The sequence below is a fragment of the Homo sapiens genome, chromosome 20 (assembly GCF_000001405.40).
Source record: "Homo sapiens chromosome 20, GRCh38.p14 Primary Assembly".
NCBI classification, from domain to species: Eukaryota; Metazoa; Chordata; class Mammalia; order Primates; family Hominidae; genus Homo; species Homo sapiens.
Window position 1 is genome coordinate 51,485,602 of NC_000020.11, and position 12,453 is coordinate 51,498,054.

Consider the following 12,453-nt stretch of genomic DNA (forward strand, 5'->3'; position numbering starts at 1 on the left):
AGTGTAACACTGAGATCAAGAGTCTGAGCCCTGGAGTCCAACCATCTAGGTTTACATCCTGGCATTGGCACTTAATGTGTCATGGCGGGAAAGTTACTTTACATCTCCAGGCCTCAGTTTCATCATCTGTAAATGTGGCTCCTGACCCTGCACACCTCACTAGGCTGTTGGCAGGAACAAGTGGGCTGTGTATAAAGCATGTCACAAGCAATCAATATTAACTTTCATTCATATTTTTTCATCTATGGCTGGGTGACTTGTGGCAATTAAGGGCCTCTTTTCTGGTCTCAGTTCTTGGAAGAAATCATCTTGAAGGTTGTCTTTCAGTGCTAACATGTCATGATCTTCAGGTACATTTAGAATAAGATCCAGGCCAAGGAGGGTGGATTCTTTGAGGCCAGGAGCTCAAGACCAGCCTGGCCAACATGGTGAAACCCCGTCTCTACTACAAATACAAAAATGACCCGAGCGTGGTGGCGTGCACCTGTAGTCCCAGCTACTCAGGAGACTGAGACATGAGAATCGCTTGAACCCGGGAGGCAGAGGTTGCAGTAAGCCAAGATCGTGCCACTGCACTCCAGCCTGGGTGACAGAGCGAGACACTGCCTCAAACAAAAAAAAGAAGAAGAAAATCCAAACTGCCCATTGCAGCCGACAAAACTGCATGATCAGACCCCCGCCCATATCACCAGCTTCATCTCCCCAACTCCAGTCCAGCCACAGGGGCCTCCTTGCTGCTCCTGGAACAAGCCACGTTTCTGCCACAGGGCCTTTGCATATGCTATGCCCTTGGCCTAGAACATTCTTCCCCTGGGTCTTCCCACAGCTGGTTCCTCCTGATCCTTCAGGTCTCAGCCTAAATGCAGGGCCCTCCCTGGGTAGCCTGGCAGAAAGAGAGCTCCTCTAGCATCATTCCACCATGTCTTCCTGTTTATTTCCTTCCTGACTGTGCTAAGTGTTACTTTATGTGTTTGCTTATTGCCTGTTCCCACCCCCCGCCCCACTAGAATGTAAGCTTGTCCATCACCATGCCTCAGCACCTCCGACGGTATTTGGCATACAGTAGATGTTCAATAAATATTTGCTGAATAAATAAACGAATAGATTGATTCTCAGGTTCCTATGTGGATCCACATATTGCCGAGTGATTCATTCTCCAGCGACTCTGAGAAAGGAGGCTCATTCATGTCTGGAACAGAATCCCTACGTTTGGAGTCTGCCTAAGCTCACTATCATTTGAGCCAGTCTGCAGGAATGTGTCTCACCATGAAAGAGACATATTATACCAGGCCAATTACACTGAAAGTCAGAAGAGCAGACTAACTTGGGCTGGAAAAATGAAGTTTACAATCTTGAGATTGAATTGAAAGCACAGCAGCCTGGCAGCTCATGGAGATGGCGAGGGAAAAGTGAGGCATGCGCAGTGCTCCCTGCTGCCAAGTGTTTACCCGAAGACCAGAACACAAGGGGAAAGCATCCTTCAGAAACATTTCTCCCGGAGTTTCTCACTCAGGACACTGACCTGATATTAGGAAACAAGGTATCTACTATCTGCAGAGGCCTGGGCTCTGGGAGAAGCAGGGGATCCCCAAGAGACGGCAACTGGGGAATGCAGCTTGCAGAAACTCCGTGCAAGCATCTGGCCCTGACCGTGCCCAGCATGGCAGTGTGTGAATGCCCCAGGGATGCTGGGATGGCAGCCGCTTCAGAACACATTGATAAGACATTCCTCTGCGGGAGCCAGGGCAGAGAGACTATCTGGATAAAGAGCTAATGCATGCAGGGCTTAATACCTAGGTGATGGGTTGACAGGTGCAGCAAACCACCATGGCACATGTTTACCTATGGAACAAACCTCTGCATCCGGCACATGTATCCCGGAACTTAAAATAAAATTAAATTAAAAAACAAAAACATTCCCAGGAAACTGCAGTTCAGCTTTGAAAAAATGTTCCACCAGAGACATCTGGATGAGCCATAAGCTCTGGCCTCTCCTCTTTCACTACAGCCACAGCTGAAAAAGAACCCCAAGATGGTGAAGAGGCAAAAGCTAGGGCTGAGGAAATGCAGGACAGCCGGCCGAGCCAGCCATGGCATAAAAAAGGTGAGTTATTCCCAATCGAATGACACCTCCGCCCCCACACCAAAGACTGTGCAGGTCTCTCTGGATTCAGACCAAAAATTCTGAGTCACTTTTGCCACAAGGGGGAAAAAAAAAAAGGAGAAGGCAGACGTGATGTGTACCTTTCCACACTCTATTTTGGGATTTTAAGATCCAGTTTCTTTCATTTCAAAGGGTGGGTTTTTGGAGGGCTCTCTGCATAACTCTTAGACTCAGCACGGCGAGACGGCGCTGAGACGGGCTCTGTCGGTGACCTGGGGAGAGGCGGGACCCACTGGCAGATCAACAAAACGCATCATTCAGGAACAAGGGGCCCGTTCTTATGTGGAGCGTATGGGGCCTGGCTTCCATAAACATGATGGAAGCCTGTGGGCTGAGCCAGTCTGACTCACCTCTTCATCGGGGCCGTTCCCAAGTTCATTCACTCCTCCGTTTAGTCATTCACGCAGCAAAGTGCCTCTCAGGAAAGAAGATTAAGCTGAAGGCTGTCCTTCAGGATTATTAATACACATTCCTTTGGTGAAGAATCGGGTGCTTCTCTGGATGGATGGTAACATGTGGGATTATCATAATCCCAGAATTTAAGACATTGGAGTAAGAAACCAGTAAATCAGGATTTCTCAACCTTCGCACTATTGGCCAGTGTGGACTATTGATTTGGGGGCCAAATAAGTCTTTCTTGTCGGGGGCTGCCCCAGGCATTGTAGGGTGTTTGTCAGCATCACTGGACTCTACCCAGTAGGTAGCAGCAGCCACCCTTTTCCCAACTGTGATGCACAAAAAAGTCTCTGGACATTGCTAAATGTCCCCTGGGACACGAAATCACTCCTATTGAGAAACATTCTTAAATTAAGCTAACATTTATGAGGAGGGGAAACAGAAAATCTGCACTGAAACCCTATCCCTTGTCCATCAGAAAGTGTTGTTCAACGGGACCTTCAAGAAACACCCCAGATCCTCCCACTTTTCACGTTCTCATCAACCTCCCTGGGTCCCAGCACTGTCATCTCTCACCTGGACCCCTGCATCCAGCCTCTCGCTAATTTCTGCCTTGTCCCTTGTCCCTATCCTGAATAGAATCTCCACAAGCAGCCAGAGGGATCTTTTAAAAGCAAATGAGATCCTATCACTTCCCTACTTAAAATCCCCCCATGGCTTCCCAGTGCATAAAGAATTACATTCAAGCTGGGCGCAGTGGCTCATGCCTGTAATCCCAGCACTTTGGGAGGCCAAGGCAGGCGGATCACTTGAGGTCAGGAGTTCAAGACCAGACTGGCCAACATGGCGAAACCCCCGTCTCTACTAAACATACAAAAATTAGCCAGACAGGGTGGCGGGCGCCTGCAATCCCAGCTACTCAGGAGGCTGAGGCAGGAGAATCGCTTGAACCCAGGAGGCAGAGGTTGCAGTGAGCCAAGATCGTGCCACTGCACTGTAGCCTGGGCAACAGAGTGAGACTGTCTCAAAAAAAAGAAGTGTGCAGATGACTTGCAGAAGAGTTCCTGGGAGGAAGCTCACCAAGATGGTGAGGGGGGCCCCTTTGGCCCTATCTCCCTCCTTCCTTGGAATTCCAGTGCTTGGAGTATAGAGGTGGTAGCTGCAGCCCCAGCAATCATTTTGAACCCTGAGGTGACCTGGAGTTGAACAGGAGGTAAGAAGGAACCCAGATTCCTAATGACTTCATAGCACTTTGGACTACCCATCTCTAGATTTTCTACATTCTTAGATGAGAAGCAACTGTTATTTGGGGTTTTCTGTTAGAGGTAATTAAACCTAAGTCTAATTGAAGGACTCATCAGCCCATCAGCATCACATCAAGTCCCCCACTCCTTCATTCAACTTCTTCTCAACTGCATTGCAAAGACAGTAAGACAACCATGTCTAGGCGGCTTCTGGTTAAACAAACTCAAGGTACAAATGGCACATGGATACGTGCACCGGCCTGCTTTACCAAAGGCTTCAAAAACAATGATTTCTCTGAAAAGCCAGTGCCAAAAGAGAATCTGAAAGAAACTGCCATGTACAAAGAGTCAGATGATTCAACTGCTCAGAAACATACCAAGTAATGACACCCAAGTCAGTCTGCAAATGTTCTCATCCTCTTACTCACAATCCAAAAGAACGTCTAGAAAGGTATTCCCAAGAGGAGAGGTGAAGTGGGGAAAGACGACTGTCTGACACACGCAGGAATGACGATGGTCCTCACTAGAAATAAAATTGCTGCTTACTTTCTGTCTGGTTTCCGAATTGCTTTTTCCTGGTTAAAAGGTGCCAGGCCTGGCAGCTTTCTAAACATTTAAAATTCAATTCAAGTCAACAAATATTTGTTAAGTTCTGCCTATTCACAAAAAGGGCCATGCTGGGGAAAACTGGATAATAGGGAGATGCTATAATTAATCATAATAACAACAACAATGACAGCTAATAATGTATTGCGTGCTTGCTAAATACAGGGCATTGTGATGTATGATATCTATCAATCTTCACTATGATATCTATCAATCTTCACTGCAACGCTATGAGAGAGGTATTATAATTTTAAACAAGAGGGAACTGAGGCTCAGAGAAATTAGTTTGTTCAAGGTCATGCAGCTAAGAAGAGAGAAGCCAGGATTCCAACACGGCAGGTCTACCTCCAAGACCCATTCTCTTGACAACTATACGATCTTCTGTTCCTGTAGTCTCTAAAGAGGGAAGAATACACAGCCACAAATGGACACACCACTGTTCCCCAACCTCAGTCATTTTCCAGCCTTATTCCTGATCTTCTACTGGACTGTTGGTTACTGAATCTCTCCACAATTTAAATTCATATCTTTACTTACAGAAATTTATCTTGAAAGAAACTTTATGTTGCTGCCATAAATAGGAAACCAGGATCACCAGCAGGAAATCAAATGTGTGCATAAATACACAATGAAATAAAGGTGCCATTAAAATAATTATAGCAGCTACACACGGTGGCACATGCCTGTAGTCCCAGCTACTTGGGAGAGTGAGACAGGAAGGTTATTTGAGCCCGGGAGTTTGAGACCAGCTTGGGTAACATAAAAAAAAATTTAAAAATAAAATAATTATAAATGTTAAAAATGCTGACTAAGTAACACAACATTAATCAACATGCTCCTTTCCCAGGGAACCATGGTTTGCAGAGCACAGGACTGGCATTCAAAGTACAGCAGAGGAGGTGCTGAAGCACTGGGTTTGGGGAGCCCCAAGATGGGAAGCCACCATCTCCAAAGCCAGTAGATCATCAAGGGATGATTAAGAAAACCACCCAGGTCAGTGCCCAGACACAAGAGGTGCTCAGCAAACCTCTGCAAAAGGACCCAAGGAGGTCTGCTAAGGACTCTTTACCAGGAGAGAAAAAGTACCACTGCCTGCCCACAAGCTAGGAGAATGTCCTGTATTCAGAGAGAGGACTAGAAAAGGAAAATCATCTCCTGGCTCCAGGGCACAAATTTTTAACCTTTTTTTGCACCAATGACCCCTTCTGCAGCTTGGTGAAGCCATGGCCCTATCTCTGAGTGATTCTTCCACATGCATAAAATGGACAAGGTTAAAAAAAAAAAAGAAGAGGGAAATCAACCAATGTATAAAAATGTAATGTATTTTCCCAAAACTAAAAAGTGGCATTCGTTCAGGTAGCCCGTCTGTCTGTCTTCCTTGCTCTGGGTTTGCATGCGCTGTGCCTGTGAGGTATGCAATGGTAGACCAGGAAATATTCAACGACCAGTTCTCCAAGACAGAAAGCTTGCTTTGCAGTGTTTGCCCATTTCCACGGTGTCAACACTCCCACAGTGGCTGATTTCCAGCTCCCGGTGTGACGATACTGTATATGGAGCTGGGAGGAGAAGTGCAGCGGCACCATTACGTGCTACCTCCGCCATGTGGATACACGGATGCCTATGACCTCAGGCACATAGGTCAGAACAACATGTAACAGAGTTCCTGGAACTTTAAAAATCAGCTCTCACAAGGCCACGAAAACGGGCTCCAGGACACTCCTGGGCACCCATAGGTCTCTGTGTGCATCTGTTTAGGTGCATAACTACTCAGATTGCAGTCTGCCCATCTCTTACTCTCTTCTCCCATTGATTTTCACATCTGCTCGTTGAGAACAGCCCCACCCCCACCAACACACACATACACATACACACACACACACACACACACACACACACACACACACACACCCCTTGCCCCAGCCCTACTCCCTGTGAAAGCTTATGAGGACCCTGCTATGGTCTGGCCTGCACACACATACCCCCAGCCCCGCGCCCCCGGAGTGCCATGAACACCCCTTGTTCACTGGCCCGGGCTCCCCTTAGATCTGGAGAAAGCCGCATCCCTGCACATCCCAGAAATGCGCAAATCCTACAAACCAAATCACCTCGGCCCCAAGGCTCCTAGAGCCTTCTCGCCCCAGCAGGAGGGAGAGCCTCATCTTTAAATCCCATCACACACATCTTCCTGTCTAGACGAGGTCCCTGGCTGCCAGGGCCTCAGAGTGAATGGATTCACAGCCTCCACCCGCTGGCACCACCGAGCCCCGCCGCACCCCGCCGCTATTCTCAGGACGACCTGGGCAGCCCCCCAGCTTCTAGAAAAGACACAGAGGAGACTGCGCAATCAACAGGCAGGAGTGTGCGTGAGTGCGGCATGACATGGGCACGCCACCCCAGAGAAGTGGGCGCCTGCTGCGCTAAACGTCATCCGTCATCCTTTCGCTGAAAAGTTGGAAAACAAACAACAAAAACCCCGCCCAGCCTCATTTAATGCGAACCAAACACAAAAGCCACAGGGGAAAGCTTTTCCTCTCTGTGCTTCCCTTTTCCGGCCGAGGAACACCACCAGCCAAGATAAGGGGACTGTGCGGGGCCCTCTGCGCGGCTTCAAAGGGCTGGCACCCGCCCGGGCCCGCTCCCACTCCCACTGGCTAATGGGCTCCCCGCTCCAGCCCTTGGGGAGCAGGAGGCGGCCGGGGCTCCATGCCAGGCGACTTGGAAGAGGTTTAAGGCTCACGCCACACAAGGGAGGAAGCTCGGCCTGTCAAGAGGCGTGATAAAGCAGCCCCTTATCGCAGTTTTCCTTTCAACTGCCTCCAAGTGAGCGCCGGCCGGGGCTGGGCCTGTCAAGGCCAAGCGTGTTCCTTTCATGTCGCCCTGGGTTCCTCGGTCAGCGACGTATCCACGGGCTCATGGAACTGTAGCGTCAGCATTGGAGTTTGCAGCTTGGGGCCAGAGGCTCCAGGAGGATGCGATCGTGTGCCTCCCAGCCTGGGCCTCTGGTGAACCATGTGGCATCTGCAAATCCACTAGAACCATCTGGGTCCCAGTTTTGCCATCAGGAAACCAGGAGAAGAAGATTCCAGAGCAGTGGGGTCCAACAGTTTAGACTGGGGGCTAGGGAGTCGGCAGACACAAGCTCAAGTCCCAACTGCTGAACTCGCTGGCTGTGGACCTTGGGCAGGTCACTCTGACTCTTTGACACATGTGTCACATAGAAAAAAGCACTTGTACATTTCATAGAGTTGCCAGGACCCAATGAATTGGTATAAGCACAGCTCTTAGAACCAGTGGCGACACATAGTAAGCGCTCAGTAAACGTTGGCCTTCATCTTGTTGTAATTCTTGTCGTTTTCTCATGGGGCTGTTATGGGCATAGAATGGGGATTGGCGACCTCACATTGCAACTGAGTGATGTGAAATTGACAACATGCTAGAGAAATGATTTTGATCTTCTAGGCACCTCCCATTTACAGAGGGAATGTCCCAGACTGACACAGTGAATCTACGATAAAAGAAAGCCTCTCATTACTTGAGCACCTTTCCACCCCGACTATGAGTCTCACTCACCGGGGCCCTGGATTCAGATAGCAGCTCCATCTGAGGCCCCTCGAATGCAGCAGACACTGGTTCAACGTCACCGCAGGGAAACCCCACTGGGCCTATTCCCTGAGAGGCGGGGCATGCTGAGAGACAGGAACAGAGTCGATCACATTGAGAGCAGCTTGGTCCCTGTCCAATCCTCTCATCAGTGGCAACCTCAGCACCATGTCCCCAGAGAGCTGCTCCCCACTGTGATGGGCATCAAACGCTTAGCAAAGAGCCAGCCCGGAACGTGACACCCTTGACCATCAGCCTGCTCAGAACCAACCAAGTCTCAGATCCGAGACTGGTTGGGGCTGCGGAAAGCTGGCCACACCTCTGAGCCCTCACCTCTGCAAAGGGGAAAATAACAGATGCCCATCCCATGCCCCATGAGCTGTGGCAAAGATTAGACGATATAATGGGTACAGTGCCTGGCAAAGAGTGGGTGCTCAGTGAGCGTCAACAGTTACCATCATCGCCACCATCGTCACCCATTTCAGACCTTCCTCCAAGCCATCTCAGGCAGCTCGGTCACCGTTACTTTGCTTGGTTATGAGTCCTCTTTTGAATGTGGACATGAGGAAGGACAGGACCCCAGTGCTCCCCTCCTTCTCCACGCGGAGTGGGCACCAGGCACTGAATTTCCATGGGTTTGCTCAGAGAGGCTAAGTCAGCTGCCTAAGGTGTCCGGCACAGGGCGGGTGCCACTGGAAATCAAAAGCAAATCTGGCGGCTTCCCTGGCTGGTGGCTTTTCTGCTACACCTGCTCCTCCTATTTCCTCTTTGTTTAAACATTTTTATTTTACTTTCAAGTGGAAATGCGGCACACGTCAGTAATTCCCTCACACTTCGCTCTTGAGGGGCTCCCCACTCCTCACCTTTATTTAAGGCCCCAAGGCCCTTTTCTTCTGCTACTACTACGTGCAGGTCTTTGTGCACAGAGTCAGCATCCTACCCTTGCCCAGAGCTGAACACGGCTCCATCCTGAATCCTAGGGCTGAGAACCCACGCGCCTTGAGGGACTGGCACTTGGCTTCCATAAACAAGGCCGCGGCTCAGTCATCTCACAGCATGGGAGAGGTTCTCACCTCCCGTGGCAGAGAGGTGACAGGCTGAGAAGCCACAGTTTGCCAGGAAGAACTTTTTGATGAAACAGGAAATGAAGTTTGTCGTAAGAGGGGAAAGCTCAACTCTGACTTCTTAAGGATTATTGAATCCCCGGTAAAACCCTGGGCTCCAGCTCTGAGGTCCTCTGTCCACTGAGAAAAGCCACTACCAAGGTGATGGTCACATACTGTCCTGAACGTGACTGCCAGCTGGTGTGTCCCCCTCCTGCTAGTCATCCACACTTGGAAAGGAGGTCAGCACAGCCCCCAAGTGGACACCCAATCCCAACATGGGCATTGTGCTACAGCAATTGCCTCCAGGTGGGGGCAAAGTAAGAACCAACCCAGCTCAGCAGAGCCAGAATCCCAGCTAGACCCTAAACCTCATTTTATTTTTTTTCTAGACAGCTTCCCACTCATCACCCAGGCTGGAGTGCAGTGGCACCATCTCAGCTCACTGCAACCTCCGCCTCCTGTTCTCAAGCAATTCTCCCCCCTCAGCCTCTGGAGTAGCTGGGACAACAGGCACGTGCCACCACACCCAGCTAATTTTTGGGTTTTATTTTGTAGACACGGGATTTCACCATGTTGCCCAGGCTGGTCTTGAACTCCTGGGCTCAAGTGATCCACCCACCTCAGCCTCCCAAAGTGCTGGGATTATAGACATGAGCCAGCACACATGGCTGGAAAGCCTCCTTTCTTAAAAAGACTTGTGTGACCGCATATTCACCTCAAAGAGAACACAGCTTCTCCATAATTTAAAGGGGTGAGGGGGACACATTCCATCGTAAATGCCCAAGAGAGAACTTGTTGATGTGTGAGTACAGACAGATCATCTGTCCTCTCTGGGGAACTGTCTTATCCAGTTCTGAACCTGGGTTTTCTTTGATGACAGAAGGCAAATAAATTCTACAGCACTCATTTTTAGCAAGCATGGAGTTTGCCGGGACCAAGGAAAATTGACTCACTCCCTCTTACAAATTCGTGGAGTTCAATTTTGTCACTTTCTGTGTTTGAAGCCAATAGTAAACACCCACATGCACACCCCCAGGTGTAAGAGAGCTCACGTCCCATGCACTGGCTGGGTCTACATGCCACCATGCCATCTGAAGGGGACTCTAACTCACACCTCAATCATCCCTCCTCTGTCCCTGTGGGAAACCTGTGGATCAGAGCGGACTCCCATTTTTCCCAGGAGGAGGATGCTAAAGTAGGAAGGTAAGGCCAGCTTTACAGTCGGGAGCATCTTTTTTATATTAAAAAGAGGCCTTGAGCAAACACTTGGACGTGAAGGTCAGCAAGATCTGGGTTTATTTTTCTAAGCATTTCCAAAGCAGGTTCCAAACCCCCACCCAGGGTCACCAACAAGATGCCCAGAGGAGCCAGGTGAGGAATGTGGGTGTGTGAACTGGGCCTAGTGGTGCTGAGACCCCATGCGGGAGGCAGATCCAGTCCAAAGGGAGGATCGAAGCGCAGCTGTTCACAACTTGCCATGCAGGAAGCCAGCCATTGTTGCCAGATCTTCTGATTGTTAGAAATCCAACTTGGTATGAGAAATTTCCTAATTTGTAAATGTTGGTTAACTAGTGTCAGCTGCTGCTTAAAGCCCTGAGCGTGTCAAATGCCATCTGTGGACAGGCTCAGGTCTTGAGCAATCAGAAACAGAGTTCCCTCACCTCTGCACACCCCTGAAGCCTGGACCATTCTTCCTTTACATCCTGCAACCACCCCCCGCCCCCCACTCAAATGTCACCTCCTCAGGAAGCTGCCCCAGATTCCCTGAGGCAAAGTGAACCTTGTGACCCAGAGCCTCACTACCTTCTCCTTCTTTTATAGTCCTTATCTCTCTATTATAGGTCTTATCTCTATAAACAAAGAATCACTAACATTAATTGGACACATACTGTCAGGCCCTCTGCTTCAGTATTTATGGTAACCTCTTTTTGGGGTACTATTATCATCCTACTTTACAGGCACAGAGAAGTTAAGTAACTTGCCCAGGGTCACAAAGCCAATAAGTGGCAGAACCAGGATTCAAACCCAGGTCATCCGGCTCCATCTTTCCTGCTATTCTTTGTTCAACCAATCCCCTTGTGACCTCAATTATTTTCCCGTCTGTTTCTCCCAGCAGACTGGGCACTCCCTGAAAGCAAGAATTGATCTCATTTCTCCCTCTATCCAGAGTACACAGCTCACATTCAGCATCTGTTGACTGAATGGGCATTGCTGCCTATCCTGGCTGCCGCGACAGCCCTGGAAGGCCCCAGGCAGGGTGGCAGGGGCTAGAATCCACTCCATTCTCCGCAGCTTAATGGGGTTCTGCAGAGGGCTTCAAGTGATGCTGCAAAGCCCCACACTGAGAAATGTCACTCCCATCCTGGCCCTGAGAGGGGACAGGGGCTTGGTTACAAGCTGGGACTAGCACCCAGGTTACTAACAAGTCCCAACAAGCTTCCCAAAGTCTAACTTCTACCAAACCAGGCACCCTCCGAGGCTCTGTCTCTGCCCAAGGCAAGCGCAGCAATGTGTCTGCCTCACGACTTCAACAACTTCGGGTCCAAAGTCAAGGTGCACTTGGGCCAATCATTCTTCTCCCTCCCGCAGCAAGAAAAATAACAATCCACCAAAAGATAAATGCAAAAAGAAGATGCACGTGAGAACGAGTCCACGTGGATGTGTAAGCACTTGCTCTAGAGACATAGTCACGGGGTTGCTTTAGGGCCAGTGCATGAACTTAATATGATCCCATTTTTGCACAAGACTTTTCTGCATTTTTCACCCCAATATTACTTGGCTGAAACCCCCGGTCCAGCCCCAGACCACCCTTGTTCAATCCCTGCAAACAAGGCCACATTTGGGTACTCATGGCTTATTCCACGCCTCCCCCCATGATAGACGTTCGCCTGAGCCCAGCCTCTGCAGCCACCGCCTTCCACCAAAGCAGATCCTTCCCCCTCCTTTGCTCACGGAGGAGTGAGGGGGAACTGCTGAGAGGAGGGGCAGATTGGCCAGGGAGGGGGCGATTGAGAACAGGAAGAAGATGGGGTGAGATCTGAGAGGCACGCTTTGGACACAATAAACAAGCCTGCTGCCTTGTTCAGAAAGGGACCCGGGACCCCCAATCCCACCAGAGCCCTAAAAGCATTAGTTCAAAGTTAAAGTTAGATACACGCAAAGCTGCAGCCCCCGGGGGAACTCAGAGCTCAAAAACAATACTCTCTTTGACTCAAAAACCACAAGGGAACACCCACGGCATACTTCTTGATTAAAAAAGGAAAGTGAAAAATAAGGTTTTCTTTTTTTCCTTCTTAATCATCATAAAACTAACTTGTGCCTATTCCATCAAGTCACG

General features: G+C 49.5%; 1 protein-coding gene across 12 annotated transcripts in view, besides 3 other annotated features; it reads right to left on the bottom strand.

Annotated features, from left to right (window-relative positions):
* Positions 1–12,453, bottom strand: part of NFATC2 (nuclear factor of activated T cells 2) — a 175,877-nt gene that overhangs the window by 98,639 nt on the left and 64,785 nt on the right. The gene's annotated exons all lie outside the window — the stretch shown is intronic.
* Positions 1,776–2,975: an enhancer, noted in NCBI's record as "MED14-independent group 3 enhancer chr20:50103914-50105113 (GRCh37/hg19 assembly coordinates)". NCBI's record gives its function as "activates an origin of replication core promoter dependent on BRD2, BRD4, P300/CBP and CDK7 cofactors, and independent of MED14, by STARR-seq in HCT116 cells {active_cell/tissue: HCT116}" and the evidence as "EXISTENCE:reporter gene assay evidence [ECO:0000049][PMID:35650434]".
* Positions 2,939–3,439: an enhancer, noted in NCBI's record as "H3K4me1 hESC enhancer chr20:50105077-50105578 (GRCh37/hg19 assembly coordinates)". NCBI's record gives its function as "activates a minimal SCP1, AML or CMV promoter by ChIP-STARR-seq in primed H9 embryonic stem cells {active_cell/tissue: H9 hESC(primed)}" and the evidence as "EXISTENCE:reporter gene assay evidence [ECO:0000049][PMID:30033119]".
* Positions 11,971–12,100: an enhancer, noted in NCBI's record as "active region_18112". NCBI's record gives its function as "activates an Ori minimal core promoter by ATAC-STARR-seq in GM12878 lymphoblastoid cells {active_cell/tissue: GM12878}" and the evidence as "EXISTENCE:reporter gene assay evidence [ECO:0000049][PMID:35858748]".